General features: G+C 37.9%; 1 long non-coding RNA gene across 1 annotated transcript in view; it reads right to left on the bottom strand.

Annotated features, from left to right (window-relative positions):
* Positions 1-21,239, bottom strand: part of LOC124901056 (uncharacterized) — an 891,204-nt gene that overhangs the window by 715,109 nt on the left and 154,856 nt on the right. The gene's annotated exons all lie outside the window — the stretch shown is intronic.

The raw sequence follows: 21,239 nt of genomic DNA on the forward strand, positions 1-21,239 counted from the left end.
ACCATTGTAGTCCTTGCAATCGCTCAATTCATTGAATGAGGTAATTTGTGTCAGATTCATATGGCTGAGATTTATTTACATAGATTAAACCACTGAGTGTCATTGGATGTTTAAGCCTTGTTCTAAGAATGGCACATAATTCAAGCATGCTGAATAAGAGCCATCCCTAAAGACTAATTCACAAGAACCAGGATAACATGTACCTGCTTTGTCGACTTCCATTTAAGCAGAATTAGAGGTTACCTTACCAGATGCTCTAAGCACTAGTAATGAACATGCATTCTCCCCCTGCGAATATTATAATAAATTCAGAAAAAGTCCAGTTCTGACATCCAAAGGGCAGCAATATTATATCACTGACAATATGCCATTAGCAGTCATTTTCACTTATTACTGTTCTCTAGGCTTAGAGTGGGGTGTCCTGTTTGGTTTTATTGCTTCTTTGTAGCATTTCCCAATTTGAGCTAGAGAGCTGCATTTTTCATATAAGCCCTGTAATTTTTCACACACAAGTCTAGCTTCTCATGGATTCGGTGCATTAAGTGACTCAACATCATACCAGAGTGTGATCTTCCCAACCAACCACTGGGTAACATAGCACTATCCTCAGTATTATGGAAGAGGAGTGAATCTTCATCCTCTTTTTTGAAGAGCTTCCCCACAAGGGGCTACGCAAACATACTTTCTGGATCCTATGTTGTTCCCACCCAGTGTACATCAAGATTCCCTTAAGAACTCTATTTCCGGTCAGGCATGGTGGCTCATGCCTATAATCCCAGCACTTTGGGAGGCCAAGGCAGGCAGATCATTTGAGGTCAGCAGTTCGAGACCAGCCTGGCCAACACAGTGAAACTCCATCTCTACTAAAAAATACAAAAATTAGCTGGGTGGCAATGGCACGTGCCTGTAATCCCAGCTACTCAGGAGGCTGAGGCAGGAGAATCACTTACCCTGGAAGGTGGAGGTTGCAGTGAGTGGAGATCCTGCCACTGTACTCTAGTCGAGGGTGACAGAGTGAGACCTTGTCTAAACAAAAACAAAAAACAAAAACAACCTCTATTTCCCCTTCCAAATCTTCTCTAACTTGTCCTTGTAATAAAAGAAGCAATAAAATTTTCTAAATCCTGGCAGATGCCTGAGTACATTCTTATACAAACAACTTATAAATAACATTTTTTAAATGTAGGTTTAAATGCTACAAGTCAATGGGTAGTTGGCAAAAGAGAAATAACTTTCTGACTTGTTCATTCCAGAGAATAATGAGGAAGAGAGGAGAAGGAAAAAAGGCAAGCAGGCAGGGAAGGACAGAGGAAAGAAAAAGAAAGATTGTTTTGGTAGAAACTGGAAGTGAGCGATGAGAAACAGCTTTAGTCACCTCGGAACAGGAAGGCTACTCTTAGAGAAGACACACAGATCTCTGAGAGCTTTAACCAAAAACAGGCTGAATTCAAGCACTTCAATAGAGAAATTCTCCATCACAGAATAAAATATTTGTTTACTACACTGGATAGAGATGACGTAGCTAACATTTGTCATTTCCAGAAACCTTGTTTACATTTGGGAAATTCCCCACATTAATGGTCCTGGTGGGAGACAGGACCAAATTCCAGAGAGGTGCTGAAAATACCAGAAACTCACTGCTGGGGTTCCTCCAATAGGTAACATGCAGGCTCATGCCCTGGGCCCCAGATACCAGGTGCTTCAGCCCCAGCCTTCAAACTGGAAGGCAGTGAGCTAAGATGTAGGAACTAGGATAATTCCCAAGGGTTGAGGGGTGGAGCGAAGGAGAAGAGACTTTGGGGCCAAAGTGGCAGTGGATGAACTCCAATCAGAGGTAGCAGCCTCAGTTTTCTTCAGCAGTTTCTTCACCAGGCCCGTTCTATGGCACCAGCTTGGGCATTTTTTTTCTGGCTGCATGGCCCCAACGTGATTTTCAAGCTTTCAATTCCTCCTATTGATTCTGTGGCCTATCAAGTATTCTTTTACTAAATTTCTTTTATCCCTGAATTGGCCAGATGGATGGAGTGATATATATACATGTATATGAAATTTGCTACTCTAATGTAACAAACTTCTGTCAAATTTCTATAATATTACAAACCACATAGAAGGGAGCAGTAATCTTATTCAACTCCATTCTTTTGTAGATAAGGAAACCTATACCCAGAAGGATTCAGAGGCTCACCAAGTGTCAACTGTCTAACAGAGCAGAGCAGGGAGTAGAATGACTGTCAGTTCAATACCCTATCATACCATGCTCATGGTACCCTGATTGTTTGAGATGTTTTTGTTACAGATTACTATATTTTGTTTTATAAGAAAGATTATACTAGGATTTTATTTGATTATTTGGGAACCCAATAATTTATTAGTACTGAGATAGAGAAACAATGATAAGGAATTCAGGAAAAGGTGGAGTTAACAAAGAGAAAGTTCAAAGGCCTAGCAAGTGAGGATATGGCCAGTTGATGCTATACCAATCTCTTCAGTAAAGTACGCTTAATTAAAGTAGCATACTTTTGAGTGGTACTGCTTAGCTGCTTTTGCTGCTTTGGGCCCCAGAACTATTAAAACCCAGTTCACAGATATGTATCTAGAATAGTTAGAATTTTTAACCCTGGACATATATATATATATTTTATATATATATATATAATATATGTGTGTGTGTGTGTGTGTGTATATATATATACACACATACATATACATACACACACAAGTTCTGGGATACATGTGCAGAATGTGCAGGTTTGTTACATAGGTATACATGTGCCATGGTGGTTTACTGCACCCATCAACCCATCATCTACATTAGGTATTTCTCCTAATGCTCTCCCTCCCCTAGCCCCCCACCCACCAACAGGCCCCGGTGTGTGATGTTCCCCTCCCTGTGACCCTGGACTTATTTCTATGAAGAAAATAAAAGGATTTGCTGAAAAGAGTAGAACTCACAGTATGGAATGAGAGCTATCCACATGTTTCACAATTAAACAGAATGATAATTGGCAAACATCAAAGTTTTCACTCCTGATTCTTTCAGGTTTTGCATGCATATCATTTGCGCTGTATTTTGCATCAGTTTGAAATTCTTATTTTGAATTATCCAAGTGCTGCTGATGCTTATCTACAATGTGAATACATATTTGTCCCTACCTTGGCTTCATGTAGGCCCAAATACCTTGGCCCAAAAATATCAGAGCCATAGCTTTTTTTTTTTTTTTCCGTAGAATAAACTGCCCCTCTCTATACCCAATAATTGCTTAAACTATTCGTAAAATGCTGCTATTCCAACAAGATTCCTTAGGAGATTTGTTTCTCTCCAATACACTCTGCAAAATGCTTGGCATTAATATACCATCTATCTTCTCTAGACTGACTTCACTAACCTGAGCACTTCGTGCTCTAATTAATCCGTATCTTAAATTTTTGAGTCTTCATCTCGTGACATGGTACAGCAATGGAAATTCTATTATAGTGATCATTTTTTGACAAGAAGACTACCTTTCTTGTTAGCCTCCAAGATGAATTAAATTCACCACTGTGGACTCCATGTAAGTGCTCGCCCAACGGCCCCACCAAGGTGTGCACACATGCACAACCCAGCCCACATCCAGTATCAAGTGGCTTGCAAGGCCAAAACAAGGAGCTTACTGGGTTGCCACAAATCTTATCCCTAGGTTCTCTTGAAACTCTATCTTTTTCTTAGTCAGAAGAGATTTAGTCATATCTCCTTAAGAAATCCAATTTTAATGACTTCTCTCTTAAAATGAAACAGACTGAGAATTCATTCCTAACATCCTCTAAAATTCCTTCAAATTATCTACACTATAGAAGGTCCACTGTATGGGTGATCCACACTGCAAATAATCTAAAAATGATGCACCCTATAATGTATTATCTTTCTGAGACCAAATTTCAGTGTTAATTATATTTGGCTTCAGCAAATATTAACATTTCTTTACATCCCCTAAGCCCAGACACAAAATGAAGAGACTTGAATGTAAACCAGAATCAAACTGTGCCCCAAAAGCAGGCCAACTTTAAATTTTAAGCCACTAACAATAACCTACCGAGTAGCTAATCCCCATGGGGGTGGTCAGCTCAAGCCATTTATTCCAACCTATAGATAGCCCTGTGTGTCTAGTCCCTTACACCTCAACTTAGATGATCTTAGTTGGCCTTGCTGTTGGCATAGTCCTTAATACACAGAGGTGCATAAGCTGTTTGTAACAATATATTTAAGGTTCTGTTTTTAACAATATATTTAAGACCTGGAAATGCTATTATTTTAACAGCTGCAATATTTACCCTCCACAAGTAGTTCACTTTCTGTCTGCTTTTGACTAAAGTCTTAGGGCCCAAATGTTTAAAGCCTGGAAGGTGGGAGTGAGGGCAAGGGGAAGCAAAATCATGTTCACAGCATGATCCCTGCAAACATCAAAACACTGTCTGTTCTTGCCTTTTGTGAAGGCAGCCCTTCAGCTATTTGTTCAGGTTTCCCTACCAACTTCATGATGAATGAGGTTTTTACACACGGCACTGTTATTTCACTGGGGCTGGGTGAGTACTTTAAACAGATGAAGACAAAGAAAGCCAGCCATATAATTCAGTGTCTGATTGCTTTTCCACATGTCAGTGGTGAAAAGCCCAACTCTCCCTTGAGCAGCTCTGAGTGGTTACCTGATTGAATCCGGTAAAGGCTGATAAATTTTGGAATGCTCTTTTAACACAAGAAAAATAGCATCTAGATGGAATTCTCTACCGTAGTACCTTACAAGAGAACCCTAGAAATCAGTACATTTCACCATTGGACATGAAGAGCGAAAGCTAACAGGATTTCCCGTACTTTCCCAGTAATCACCAATATCTGAAGGATGAGAGCCGACTCACATTTTTTGGAGTGTTAACTATAATTACATAAGCAACAGATTAAGAAAAAAATGAATTTTAAGAGTGAGCATTTCCAGAAATAAAATTTTAAAAGGTACAATGAAGAAAGAAAAGATCCAATCTTTCCTTATATCACATTTTTCTACTGCCTAGAGAAAGAAATGGGTGGATGAAAAAAGGGGTATTAAGATCCTTACAGGTCATGCCTTTGGATCTTTCAAAACTGCTCTGCCTCTATGAATAAAAAACTCTAATCATATTGGAGAGAGTTGACAAAACAGATAAAGAACAGGATCTCGCCGTAGGATACAACTTAGCGCAAGTTGGGAGGAGGGAAGCACTTGGTTGCAACCTTGCCTCCATGACTATACTTAGTTGCAGACACATCATCCCTTCATGCTTCAAAAACTTCCCTTGAGGGTAATTTTTGCTTATATATTGCTTTGAAAGAGTTAGTGTAAAATGCTTTAAGTAACACGTCCATGAGTAGATACTTTCCCTTGGACTCCAGGCACAGTATATTCCATACAGCTAAATAACAGCTCACAGTAAAATTACACATAATCAATAGTCTGTCCACTGATCCAAATACCCAGGGGCCTATTTCTGAAGATTTTATTGTACATATATTCCAGGCACACGTATGGTGGAGTCTATTGATTCACGCACAGCTGTTTTTCTCCTGTTAGTGTGTGATTATTTTCAAGTGTTTTATGAGAGCAGATGTTTTAAGAGCATGCTGAGTACAGTCTTTCCTCGACTGACACTTTTTTATTTACATAAACAACAAATCGCTATTCTGCTGTTCTTTTGATACTGCGCGGTTAGTGGGTAAAATCACCAGTGTCAGTTTTCCTGGACATTCTTAAGCAAAGGTGCTTTGTCTATTCCCTTCCCCTCAAGCACCGCCACAAAGGCCCTCGCAGTCTTCCTCCATCACTCCTCCTTTCTCTGATCCTTCTGTGATCAGATTGTTTGAACTTGGCTCTTCCACACCAAGACTTTTTAAGCTGTAGCAAACTGAATACACCAGTGTTCTATATAGAATGCAATTTTCTCTGTTGGGTTGGTACCTGTTCCAAATAGTTGAATTTAGGTAACAGCTTATTTCCTGAGAGTCAACATGTACTTCTGCTTGAAGCTACTGCAGAGTCAATCCCTTCTTGGTGCTACAAAAGTATGTTACCATGGAAAATAATATTCTGCCACACATTCATTGAAAGAGACTGCCAATCTCATCATGTAGCATCAACAGAATGCATATAGCTCTGAACTGAAAAGTTTTTCTACCTAAAGAACATGAGTTTTGGATCTTTCAAGCATGGAATATAGACATGTTTTGTGCTTTAATGAAATGTTAGAGATTCTCCAATGTATAGTAGTAAGTAAAAGTATTTTTGTGACCCTTACTCCCTGCCAGTTTATAAACTGCTGTCAGGATTAGCACAGTTGACTTTAGAATGATTCTAAATGTAGAATAGTTGGAGATAGTAACTGAAGGTAGAAAGAGACTGATTATCCTTTCCAATTCCTCTCTGGTCATATAAACGTGACCTTCCTCTTCATGTACCACATTCAGTACAACTTTGTTCTTTCCACAACTTCATCATTAATTCAGATCTTTAGGAATTTTCAAATGGCCATGTCATATTAATCTCCATTTTATAATGAACAGTAAGCTCATAGCCAATAATTCAAGCAACATTTATAGAGTACCAGTTATAATTTATGTACTCTGCTATGTGCTAGGGGCATTGGTGTGGGTAAAACAAAGACTTTTGGTAGGGAAGAAAATACAAACTGATTGTTCAACTTAAAGAGACTTTGTCAGAGGAGTGCACCAAGGAAGCTAGGAAGGTACTCATTTTCTCTGGAGACAAATAGATAAAGTCACCTTGAATTTTTGTAGAAGGGAAGGTCTCCTTTCCCCTTCTATTCATTCCAGTATTCCTCTGTCTGACTTAGAAAGAAAGGCTAGCATTTGTGAAAACAAATTAAGTGGTATAACACAACGTTAAATGGAATTTTTCCTGCAACTGTGGAATTTCAGCTAAAGTATCAAAACTCAGGATGATAGGTGATAAGAAACCCACTTTCTAAAGATGGATGTTATTCTCATAACTTATTAAAAGTTGGCTCTTGCCTGTAATCCCAGCACTTTGGGAGGCCGAGTAGGGTGGATCACCTGAGGTCAGGAGTTCGAGACCAACCTGGCCAACATGGTGAAACCCCATCTCTACTAAAAATACAAAAATTAGACGGAGAGATGGCAGGCACCTGTAATCCTAGCTACTCAGGAGGCTGAGGCAGGAGAATCACCTGAACCCTGGAGGCAGAGGTTACAGTGTGACAAGATTGTGCCACTGCACTCCAGCCTGGATGACACAGCAAGACTCTGTCTCAAAAACAAAAACAGAAGCTTACAACATTAGCCTATCAATGTCCATTTCCCACCTCCATGCCATGTAACAGAATGCTAGAGATACATTAAGGAGTTGATGTGAAGGAAGGTGCCCTTTGTGTATAGAAGTACAGATGGTGAGCCACAGTGCTCCCCTTTTGCCTCCCATACGTGCTCCATCTCCAAGCCAAGAGGAGAGAGATACTGGGAGTTTCTGTGGGAAGGGAAATGGCTTCTCCCTAGCAGACAGTTCCTTGTTGAGTATATCAGACGCCAGCCCTACGTCACTACTGCAGTGGAGTACAAGAAAACTCTTTGGAGAAATTAAAATAAATCCCTAATTTGGGAGAAATTCAGCAAGCAAAGACTAGTGTTAGCCTCATCCCTATAGAAGCATCAAACAGGATGTTGTTTAAGCAAATGACAGTGACAGGAATGACAATTACAAGGCAAAAAAAGGAGGACAGCATTTATTCAAACCGCAGTGAACAAATACTTGATGTTTCCTGTGGCAAAGGGACACCTTGGAGGGTAGCAAGGCATGAAATGACTTTAAAGGCTGCATCTAGAAACAAAATGGCAGATAGGAGGCAGGACTAAATTGCAGCTCCCACTTGGACGGACACAGCAGCATGTGGAGACTCGTGTCATGAATTTCTGCCCAAAGAACTACTACAGGGATATACAAGGAAAGCCAAGAAAATCCACAGACCCTTTGAAGGAAGCAGATTGCTCCTGCAGGACCCAGAAGACAGCCCAAATACACTGAGTGCCCAAACTGTGAACATGGGAAAGGGGGATCATCTGCTCCTGAACACACACCCTCACTGGGGAACCTGAAGGCCCATATCATGGGAGAAGGATTTAACCTTACCTGGAGCTGAGACAATTTAGAGAGCCAAGCAAAATACAGGGGTCGAAGAAGCAGCAGGAAAAGCCCTGTGGGCTCTCTGGGTCCCCAGGGAAGGCATTTCTGACTTGTTTCACAGGGGTCCTTGAGGAGGGCTGCCAGAGTAACTGGGAAAAGACCACAGCTGAACTTTTTAACAATTCCAACCAAAACTTTGTTCTGGACACAAAGTTTCCTGGCCAGAACTCGGGGGAGGGTGTGAATCCAGTATGCAGACTCTGACAGGTAGGGAGGTGCGAAAGCCCTGCTTGCTTTCTCAGCCAGCTGGTAGCTTGAGGCAAGTTCTCAGCCCTGCTCACCTACTGCCTAGAAATAAACTCAGTGCTGTTGGTGAGGGCACAGTGAGAGTGAGACCAGCCTTTTGGGTTTTGTGGGAGCTGGTGAGGCCTGTAACTGCTGGCTTTCTCCCACTTCCATGACAACTGCATGATATAGCAGAGGCAGCCATAAACCTCCTAGGAGAATAACTCCATTGACCTGGGAACCACATCCCCATCCCCCACAGCAGCCACAGCAAGTCCCACTAGAGAAGAGTCTGAGCTCAGACACACCTAACCCTCACCAGCAATGGATATAAACCAAGAAGAAATTGCTGAATTGCCAGAAAAAGAATTCAGAAGGTCGATTATTAAGCTAATCAAGGAGATGACAGACAAAGGTGTCCAACTTAAGGAAATCAAACCAATGATACAAGATATAAGGGGAGAAATCTTCAATGAAATAGATAGCATAAATAAAAAACAATAACAACTACAGGAAATAAAGGACACACACTTAGAGAAATGCAAAATGTACTGGAAAGTCTCAGCAATATAATCAAAAAAGCAGAAGAAAGAACTTCAGAGCTTGAAGACGAGGTTTTCGAACAATCCAATCCAACAAAGACAAAGAAAAAAGATTTTAAAAAAGAACAAAGCCTGCAAGAAGACTGAGATTATGTTAATCAACCAAACCTAAGAATAATTGGCATACCGGAGGAAGAAGAGAAATTTAAAAGTTTGGAAAACATATTTGGGGTTATAATCAAGAAAAACATCCCCACCCTTGCTAATGATCTAGATACACAAATACAAGATGCTCAAAGAACACCTGGGAAATTCACTGCAAAAAGATCATTGCCTAGGAACATAATCAAGTTATCTAAAGCCAAGACAAAGGAAAGAATCTTAAGAGGTGTGAGACAAAAGCATCAGGTAACGTATAAAGCAAAACCTATCAGATTAACCTCAGATTTCTCAGCAGAAACCTTATAAGAGCTAGAAGGGAGTGGGGCCCTAACTTCAGCCTCCTTAAACAAAACAATTATCAGCCAAAAATTTTGTATCCAGTGAAACTAAGCTTCATAAATGAAGGAAAGATAGTCTTTTTTGGACAAACAAATGCTGAAAGAAATTGCCACTACCAAGCCAGCACTACAAGAAATGCTAAAAGGAGCTCTAAATCTTGAAACAAGTCCTGGAAATACATCAAAACGGAACCTCTTCAAGGCATAAATCGTACAGGATCTATAAAACAAAAATACAGTTAAAAAAAAGGTATTTAGGAAACAAATAGCACAATGAATGGAATAGTACCTCATATCTCAATACTAACATTGAATGTAAATGGCCTAAGTGCTCCACTTAGAAGATACAGAATTGCAAAATGGATAAGAATTCAGCAACCAGCTATCTGCTGCCTTCAGAGGACTCACCTAACACATAAGGACTCACATAAACTTAAGGTAAAGGGGTGGAAAAAGACATTCCATGCAAATGGACACCAAAAGTGAGCAGGGGTAGCTATTCTTATAACACACAAAACAAACTTTAAAGCAACAGCAGTTAAAGACAAAGAGGGATCTTATATGATGGTAAAAGGCCTTGTCCAACAGGAAAATATCACAGTCCTAAATATATATGCACCTAAGACTGGAGATCCCAAATTTATAAAACAATTATTACTAGACCTAAGAAATGAGATAGGGAGCGGGGAGGAATAGCATTAGGAGATATACCTAATGTAAATGATGAGTTAATGGGTGCAGCACACCAACATGGCAGATATATACATATCTGTAACATAACTGCACGCTATGCACATGTACCCTAGAACTTAAAGTATAATAAAAATATATATATTTAAAAAAAGAAATGAGATAGATAGCAACACGATAATAGTGGGAGACTTCAATACTCCACTAACAGCACTAGAAAGGTCATCAAGACAGAAAGTCAACCAAGAAACAATGGATTTAAACTATAACCTAGAAAAAAATGGACTTAGATATTTACAGAACATTCTACCCAACAACTGCAGAATATACTTTCTATTCATCAGCACATGAAATTTTCTCCAAGACAGACCATATGATACACCACAAAACAAGTCTCAGTAAATTTAAGAAAATTGAAATTATATCAAATACTCTCTCACGCCACAGTGGAATAAAATTGGAAATCAACCCCAAAAGAACCTTCAAAACCATGGAAATGAAATAATCTGCTCCCAAATGATCATTGAGTCAACAATGAAATCAAGATGAGAATTTAAAACTTCTTTGAACTGAACAATAATAGTGGCACAACCTATCAAAACCTCTGAGATACAGCAAAGATGGTACCAAGAGGAAAGTTCATAGCCTTAAATGCCTACATCAAAAAGTCTGAAAGAACAGAAATAGAAAATCTAAGGTCACAACTCAAGGAACTAGAGAAACAAGAATAAACCAAACCCAAACCTAACAGAAGAAAAGAAATAACAGATCAGAGCAGAACTAAAAGAAATTGAAACAAAAAACTACAAAACATAAATGAAACAAACAGTTGGTTCTTTGAAAAGATAAATAAAATTGATAGACTATCAGCAAGATTAGCCAAGAAAAGAAAAGAAAAAATCTAGACTATCAGCAAGATTAGCCAAGAAAAGAAAAGAAAAAATCCAAATAAGCTCAATTAGAAACAAAATAAGGGATATTACAGTCTATACCACAGAAATACAAAAGATCATTCAAGACTACTATGAACACATTTACATGCATAAACAAGAAAAACTACAGGAGATGGATACATTTCTAGAAATATGCAACACTCCTAGCTTAAATTAGGAAGAATTAGAAACCCTGAACAGACCAATAACAAGCAGCGAGATAGAAATGGTAAAAAAAAAAAAAAAAAAAAAAAAAAAAAAAAAATTACCAAGAAAAAAAGGCCAGGACCAGATGGATTCACAGCTAAATTCTATCAGACATTGAAAGAAGAATTGGTACCAATCCTATTGACACCTTTCCACAAGATAGACAGAGAGGGAATCCTCCCTAAATCACTCTATGAAGCCAGTATCACCCTAATCCCAAAACCAGGAAAGGACATAACAAAAAAAGAAAACTACAGACCAATATCCCTGATGAACATAGATGCAAAAATCCTTAACAAAATACTAGCTAACCAAATTTAACAACATATCAAAAAGATAATCCAGATGATCAAGTGTCCTTCATACCAGGGATGCAGGGATGGTTTAACATATGCAAGTCAATAAATGTGATACACCACCTAAACAGAATTAAAAGCAAAAATCACATCATCTCAATAAATGCAGAAAAAGCATTTGACAAAATCCAGCATCTTTTTATGTTTAAAACCCTCAGCAAAATTGGCATACAAAGGACATACCTCAATGTAATAAAAACCATCTATGACAAACCCACAGCCAACATAATACTGAACTTGGAAAAGTTCAAAATATTTCCTCGGAGAACTGGAACAAGACAAGGATGCCCACTCTCACCACTTCTATTCAACATAGTACTGGAAGTCCTAGCCAGAGCAATCAGACAAGAGAAAGAAATAAAGGGCATCCAAATTGGTAAAGAGGAAGTCAAACTGTTTGCTGATATGATTGTATACCTAGAAAACCCTGAAGACTCCTCCAATAAAGCTCCTAGAACTAATAAATGAATTCAGCAACGTTTCAGGTTACTAAATTAATGTACACAAATCAGTAGCTGTGCTATATGCCAACAGTGACCAAGCTGAAAATCAAATCAAGAACTCAACCTCTTTTACAACAGCTCCAAAAAATAAAATAAAATACTTAGGAATATAACCAACCAAGGAGGTGAAAGACCTCTACAAAGAAAACTACAAACACTGCTAAAAGAAATCATAGATGACACAGACAAATGGAAATATATCCCATGCTCATGGATAGGTAGAATCAATATTGTCAAAATGACCATACTGCCAAAAGCAATCTACAAATTCAATCCAATTCCCATCAAAATACCACTATCATTCTTTACAGGACTTTAAAAAAAAATTCTTAAATTCACATGGAACCACCCCACACAGCCAAAGCAAGACTAAGCAAAAAGAACAATTTTGAAGGCATCACATTACCTGACTTCAAACTATACTATAAGGCCATAGTCACCAAAACAGCATGGTACTGGTATAAAAATAGGCACATAGAGCAATTGAACACAATAGAGAACCCAGAAATAAACCCACATACTTATAGTCAACTGATCTTTGACAAAGCAAACAAAAACATAAAGTGGGGAAAGGATGCCCTGTTCAACAAATGGTGCTGGGATAACTGGCAAGCCACATGTAGAAGAATGAAGCTGGATCCTCATCTCTCACCTTATACAAAATCAACTCAAGATGGATCAAGGACTTAAATCTAAGACCTGAAACTATATAAATTCTAGAACATTAGAAAAACCCTTCTAGACATTGGCTTAAGCAAAGACTTCAGACCAAGAACCCAAAAGCAAATGCAACCGAAACAAAGATAAATGGGTAGCACTTAATTAAACTAAAGTGCTTCCGCACAGCAAAAGGAACAGTCAGCAGAGTAAACAGAACCCAGTGTGGGAGAAATCTTCACAATCTATACATCTGACAAAGGACTGATATCCATAATCCACAAGAAACTCCAACAAATCAGCAAGAAAAAAACAAACAACCTCATCAAAAAGTGGGCTAAGGACATGAATAGACAATTCTCAAAACAAGATATACAAATGGCCAACAAACTTATGAAAAAATGCTCAACATCACTAATGAACAGGGAAGTGCAAATCAAAACCACAATGCAATACCACCTTACTCCTGAAAGAATGGCCATAACCAAAAAATCTAAAAACAATAGATGTTGGTGTGGATGCAGTGGAAAGGGAACACTTCTACACTGCTAGTGGGAGTGTAAACTAGTACAACCACCATGGAAAACAGTATGGAGAGATCTTAAAGAACTAAAAGTAGAACTACCATTTGATCCAGCAATCCCACTAATGGGTATCTACCCAGAGGAAAAGAAGTCATTACATGAAAAAGATACTTGCACACACGTTTATAGCAGCACAATTCGCAATTGCAAAAACATGGAACCAGCCCAAATGCCCATCAATGAACAAGTGGATAAAGAAATTGTGGTGTATATATATGCAATGGAATACTACTCAGCCATAAAAAAGGAATGAATTAATGACATTCACAGCAACCTGGATGAGACTAGAGACTTATTATTCTATTCAGGAATAGAAAACCAAACATCATATGTTCTCACTCGTAAGTGGGAGCTAAGCTATGAGGATGCAAAAGCATAAGAATGGTACAACGGACTTTGAGGACTCAAGGGAAAGGGCAGGAGGCAGGTGAAGGATAAAAGACTACAAACTGGGTTCTATGTATACTGCTTGGGTGATGTGCACCAAAAATCTCACGAATCACCACTAAAGAACTTACTCATGTAACCAAATACCACTTGTTCCCCAAAAACCTATAGAATATAAAACTAAAGAAGTAAATAAATAAAAAGACCCCACCTAAGAAAGCTGCCTGCTGGAAAAGCGCTCCCCAGCAGGAAGAACCTATAGGTATACTGGTAGAGCAGGGATATGTGAGGACAAGTCACAAGAGATTAGCTGGAGCATGTGCACTAACTCATATGAGGAAAGGCAGAGGGTGGAAGAGGGGAGAGGGGGGCCACTGTTTGAACACTTGTCATGACAGTAGGCATCATGGACCAGATTATAGCAGCATCAGTAATATGAATCTTTGTCGACTTTCCTCTAAACCCACCCTCCCCATACCATGGACCCTGTGGGAGCCAAAGGCAGAGCACATAGGGAAGGACTGGAGAGCACAGAATGCAAAGAAACAGACCGTACTCCATTCTCCCAGTCAGTTCTGTAGCAGGAGAGGTAGTCAAACTCTTCAAACTGGATGCAAAACTGAGGTTTGAGATTGAACTAGACTGGCACTTTAAAACCAGACTATTTTGTAGTTGAAATAGACCAGAAATCTATAGATTCTTCCCAGATAGTGAAGAGCGAGAGAGATCCAAAAGAACTTTCTCCAAGACAGTGTGATAAGAGACAAAAAGCCATTCCTGACTGAGCCAGTTCAGCCCATTCAATAAACCAGTTATACTAGTTACATCAGAACCTATGCAATAGGAAGGTAGGAAGAAGTGGAAAACAACTCAATACTTCGGTAGATACCTGTTGAGCCAGCTTGGGCTAACATAACAAAATACCAAAGCCTGAGTGGCTTAAACAACAGAAATTTATTTCCTCATAGTTCTCAAGACTGGGAAGTCCAAGATCAAGGTAGCGGCAAATTTAGTTCCTGGTGAGGGCTTTCTTCCAGACTTCCAGAAGGCTGCTTTTTCTCTGTGTTCTCACAAGGCGGGGAGGCGGGGGAGGGAGGGGGAAAGAGCAGGAGAGAGCAAGAAAGAGCGAGCACAAGCGCGCTCTAGTTTCTCTTCCCATAAGGACGCTAATTCTATCGTCTCATGGCCCGACACTTATGACCTCACTTAATCTTAACTACTTCCGTAAAGGTCCTGTCTCCAAAACAGTAACAATTGGGGGTTAGGGCTTCAATATATGAGGGAGACAGGGTGGTAGGGGACACACAGTTAGGTCCATGGCTATCATTTCAAAAAGAATTTGAGAAGACGTCTAATAAGAAAAATAGTAGGCAATCTCTACTCACACACAAAACATCTCACCTAAAAACAAGAAGTGGGGGTGGGGAAGTGTATGATTTTGTGCTTAAAGCTTCTTGAGAAAAAGAACTGCTAAATTATATGTAAATACAAAAGCATGTCAAAGGGAAATTCATTAGAAAAGCAAATCGAAAAAGAGGGGAGAAAAGTGGGTTTAAGCTTAAACTGTCTTTATAGAAACTATGTAATTAATTGAATGCATGTGAAATCTATAGACATGGTTGTAATTTAAGTATAGATGTTAAAAATAATGTAGGATCTCAAACTTTAAAACTTTGAATTCAAATAATACATAAGCACATAGAAAAGTTGAAAATAAAACTGGCTTGAAAAAATCATACAAAGTAAAATTAAAATGTGTGTTTATTGCATTTATAAGAACCTCAGTTATGACCAAATATTTCAGAAATAGTGGTTAGCTTTCTTGAAAGAATAAAGGAAAATTAATTTAAATGTATGGGGTAAATATGTTGGTATTTATTTTAAATTGTGCTGTGGCCTGGGCTTCTCAAAGGAAGAAAAAAACAGTGAAATATGAAGTCAAAGTAATGAAGTTCAAGATGGTAGGTTTAGCATATGCATTTGCCTATTCTCCTGTAAAACACTGCAGTTAAAAAGGACACAAGAAAGTAAATTCACAGAAGCACTGAGAACATATGAAACATCAATGGGCCAGATACAGGTTTCTGGATAGCTGAGTAGAAAATAGGATAGTACAAAATCTACAGAAAAGCAGAGGGAGCTATCACTCAAGCCATCATCGGAAGAGAGGACTGAAGTGAAAAGTGCTGTTAATCACGGAATTCTCCAAAAAGAGCAAGTAAAATGGGCAGGAGGATCAACTGCCAAAAATTTTAAATGCAATAAGGTGGATCAAAAATAAAGCTGAAGAATCTTTTATAATATAGAACAGAAAAAACAAAGAAATTGAAAGTATGTGCAAAAAGAAAAGAGGCATATAAAATCAAACCAGGTTGGCCAGCATCTGATTAAGAGAACTACTATAAAAGAAAAATAGATACAAAATAAAGGATTTCATTTTATTCTGATGAATGGCTGGGGGTGGGTGGGATGTAAGGGAATTCAAAAGAAAAAGAAATAGAATCATAGCACACTACATGTCTTGGCAGTAAAAAATAATTATATACCCATAGTAATATAAAGATTGATTTTTATTTGCCTCAAAGGCAAGAAACATAGGCAGACAGCACAGAAATTATGGTTGCAATTGCAGTACAGAATGTAAATGTTATCAACCTTGACAATACAGAAGCAAAAACTAAATTGAAGGAAAATGGGAGGAGAAAAACAAAGAAGCAGCAGAGGAAAGGGTAGAGACACTAATTTTCCACCTTAGAGCAAAATTGAGTTAATTAAAGGGAAAAAGGAAATAGAATTATTGATATGTTTTCTAAAGTTATGAAGAGAACCAATAATAGAGCTGAAAATAATGATTAACTATTAAAGTTTAGGAGCAGGAGATGCACATAGAGGGTAAGTGAAACCAATCCTCATCTTCCATAATAGAAAGTAAGTAGAAATTGTTCAAGGTCATTAAATCAAAAAATAGTGGTTGACAATTTTGTTTGGATAGCTACCAATTTCAATTTTATTTGGAAAAATGTTTTAATGATTAAAAGAGGTGCTAGTGGAAATGAGCCTGGGAGTCGGGGGGCTAAAGTAGGGGACTTCCCGTTTTTCATCATAAGCTCTTCTGCTGTCCTGATTTGTTACCTTGGACAGGACATGTATTACGTGGGTAAAAACAAACAAGTTTCAGTATTTAGTAAACGGCAACTGTCTCCATTTTCTAAATGTTGACTGAAGTCAACATTACAGCCAGGCATGGAAAGCAGATTTTAATCTAGCAAGAAACGGAAGGGTAAAACAGTCAAAATAAATAACTAAAAGGAAATTTAAAGAAACTCAAAAGAAACGTGTTTCTCCTCTCCCTCTCTCTCACATACATATACACCACAAAATTTACCCAGGATTGTCCTGCCCTCCGTGTAGGATCATCAGATACTGACATACAACACAAAGTAATGACAACCTCTTCACAGACTCAATAAATCCTGGGACTAAAATTCATTCATTCTAGAAATAAAGTCTGTGTTCAAGGACACAAAGTGTGGAATAAAGGGTAAACATTTTTAATCAATGTTTCCAAATATAATTATGAAAAATGAGCAAATACTCCAACAAGGCTACACTACTAGGATACTGGATTCAACCAAAGTGAGGGTTAGCCAACATTTTCTGCAAAGGGCTAGATAGTATATATTTTAGGTTTTGCACATCATACTCAACTCTGCTATTGTGGTATGAAGCTGTGATAGACAATACACAAATACAGGCTATGGTTGTGCTCCGCAAAAACCTCATTTACAAAACAGGCTGTAAATAGTATTTAGCCCATAAGCTATAGCTTGCCTACTCCTGAACCAAAGGATGAAGGACATTAAGATATTTAAGTTATAAAGTATGTGATATATTTTTATTAAATATGTATATTTAATATATTTATATTAAATAATATTTTTATTAAATATATCACATACTTTATAACCCTGTGCTAATAATATAAAATAATATACTATCAATGATTGTTATATGTAATTCTTGATGTTCAAATGCCTTTTGAATAAGATCTGGTCAAATAAGAGCTAAAACATACCCATTCATTCTTCTTTCACTCCCATCACACAAACAATGAAATAAAAACAGTGATATAAAGCCAGCTACCCCTGGGGAGGGACCCTCTTAGGTAGCTAATATATTTGATTCCTATTTTTCCATCAAAATGAGATCCCCATGTAGCTCCAACTATATATTCTATTGTACCATTTTGAAAATAATGTGAAGGGACAAACTTGTAGCAATATCTCAAAAGCAGTTGACACTGACATCTAACTTTAAGAGATGGCTCATAAAGGATGTTTAGTGCTTCAAACAAGTGACATTGTATAAAGATTAGCACTTGGCAATGACATTGATTGCTTGCTAAAAATTTCACCTTAATCACTATCAAATCATATTATTTAACCAACTTGGTGCTCTTGGGGCCCGCTGAACACTCCACTATTTTTTTTTTATCAACTGGCAGTGTGGATAGAAAGCAAAATTTAAAAAATCAAATTAGCTTCCACCTCAAAATCCTAATTACATTTGTGACAGCTGTGAGCAAAATATGGTCCTAAATAAAATGTTAGATAGCATTAATGATATGATCAAAAAAGATGAAAAATCACAAGTGACAAGGGAAAACATTTGATATGTGACAAAAAAAAAAAAAAGAATGACAACAAAGGAAATCCTCCAATCTCACAAAGAAATCCTTCAGATTGTCCTGGGCAGGTCTTATCAAATACCATATGGTTATAATGCCAAAGCCCAGGTGCAAAGGGTAAAACAAAAACAAAACATAACCAAACCTTACAGATGTTCCAGATTGAAGGCAATGACAATAACAACCCCTGGACATGTACAGAGAATTTAATTCTAACAAAAAAAATCAATGTTGCTCAACATTTAAAAGAAGGTTTGGGGAAAACTTTTGTTTTGCTTTTAGCTTTAAAGAAAAATATAAGTGTAAACATCCATCCACTATATACACACCTGGGTACACGCTAGTGTGTACACAACACAGCTAAGGAGGCTACATGAAATTCACTAAGGAGATCTTTATAAATTTTCAATTCTCCCTCTAGCCACTCTAAATCCTTCCCAGGCAAAGAATATTTCCCAACTCTAACAAGAAAAAAAAATATGATCTATATGCAAAGCTTATGTGTTCAAGAAACTCTAGCTCCAATCTTCAGATACTTTTTAATCAATATGCAAATGAGAAATGCTTCCCTGCAAAATTATTGGGTCCTTATTTTAATTTTAGCATTAAACCAACAATTAGCGCCTAATGACTATTTCTTGACTTAAAGTCTTCAACTTTACAAACGTGTACGTAGCACTATTTAAGTGGACATAAACATTCATTATTAAAAAAAAATAGGAAGGGCCACCATTATAAATGAAGCCTTCTTTTCCTTTTCCTAGGAAAATAATGCAAAGTAAAAGTATGTCCAAATGACCATCCAGGCCCCTTTCCTATAAGCTCTGCCTTTGCCCAGTTTGTACAGGTAAACCTAACGTTAGGCCCATCCTGTAAAATGATACATCCTCCTGATATTTCTTGTCCCCTATCTGGTGATCAAAACTATTCATTCTCTAAGTCCTTGTTAGGTAACTGGCTAAAAATCTGGAAAACAAAAAACAAAAAAAACAAAAAAAAAACATTTCAGCCAAAGGTATCAATGACCATTAAAAGAAAATGTGTTACCCCTTCCCAAATGACAAAGGCATTTTATCAGGAAACTCCAATGCTGTGGACTCTTGCGTCCTATGACCAAGTAGACGAGACAAGTATATAATTCAGAGCAAAGAGGCTTTAAGCAACTGTAGAGTCACATTATCTAGTCAGCTTTCTTTTATCTACACATAGACTAGCAATGTTAATTTCAATGGGCTAATCAAGGTAGACTTTGCTTAGTGACTTAAAAGTTGATAATTAAGAGGCCAGAAGAACAGATTTCTTTGTCACGGAAGAATTTGAAACAGATAAACTCAATCTGTAGAAATAGTAGTTGAGATCATTGGTGAACTGCCATCTTGAAGCAAACCATCCCTTATAAAGTGACAGTTTATTCATTTATATGTTCTTAAACATATTCATTGTATATTTAAAAATTAATATGTTTGAGAAATATAAGCAAGATAGATTGGTGATAAATAAAAGAAAGATAAGTTTCCTATACCTGTATATTTACTACATTATATTATAGGGAAGAAAACAGAACCAGTATTTGTCAATGTGGTCCAAGAATCATCTTCATCTGAGTCACTGGTTATACCTTTGAAAATGCTTACTCCTGGGCCCCACCATAGAATTTCTGACTCAGAATCACTAATGAGACAAAGGATCTGCACTTTTAATAGATCCCTAATCCATTTTAATGATGGTATTTCCACAGAATCCTGTTATATTATTTACAGGTCATATTTATTGATATCCAAGATAATGGCAGCAAGCAAAATATCTTCAGAAATAAAATCAGACCACCATCAGTGTGAACAGGCAACCTACAGAGTGGGAGAACATTTTTGCAACCTACTCATCTGACAAAGGGCTAATATCCAGAATCTACAATGAACTCAAACAAATTTACAAGAAAAAAACAAACAACCCCATCAAAAAGTAGGCGAAGGACATGAGCAGACACTTCTCAAAAGAAGACATTTATGCAGCCAAAAAACACATGAAAAAATGCTCACCATCACTGGCCATCAGAGAAATGCAAATCAAAACCACAATGAGATACCATCTCACACCAGTTAGAATGGCAATCATTCAAAAGTCAGGAAACAACAGGTGCTGGAGAGGATGTGGAGAAATAGGAACACTTTTACACTGTTGGTGGGACTGTAAACTAGTTCAAACATTGTGGAAGTCAGTGTGGCGATTCCTCAGGGATCTAGAACTAGAAATACCATTTGACCCAGCCATCCCATTACTGGGTATATACCCAAAGGACTATAAATCATGCTGCTATAGAGACACATGCACACGTGTGTTTATTGTGGCACTATTCACAACAGCAAAGACTTGGAACCAACCCAAATGTCCAACAATGATAGACTGGATTAAGAAAATGTGGCACATATACACCATGGAATACTATGCAGCCATAAAAAAGGATGAGTTCATGTCCTTTGTAGGGACATGGATGAAGCTGGAAACCATCATTCTCAGCAAACTATGGCAAGGACAAAAAAACAAACACCGCATATTCTCACTCATAGGTGGGAATTGAACAATGAGAACACATGGACACAGGAAGGGGAACATCACACACCGGGGACTGTTGTGGGGTGGGGGGAGGGGGGAGGGATACCATTAGGTGATACACCTAATGCTGAATGATGAGTTAATTGGTGCAGCACACCAACATGGCACATGTATACATATGTAACAAACCTGCACGT

The sequence above is a fragment of the Homo sapiens genome, chromosome 5, assembly GCF_000001405.40.
Source record: "Homo sapiens chromosome 5, GRCh38.p14 Primary Assembly".
In the NCBI taxonomy this organism is placed as follows: Eukaryota; Metazoa; Chordata; class Mammalia; order Primates; family Hominidae; genus Homo; species Homo sapiens.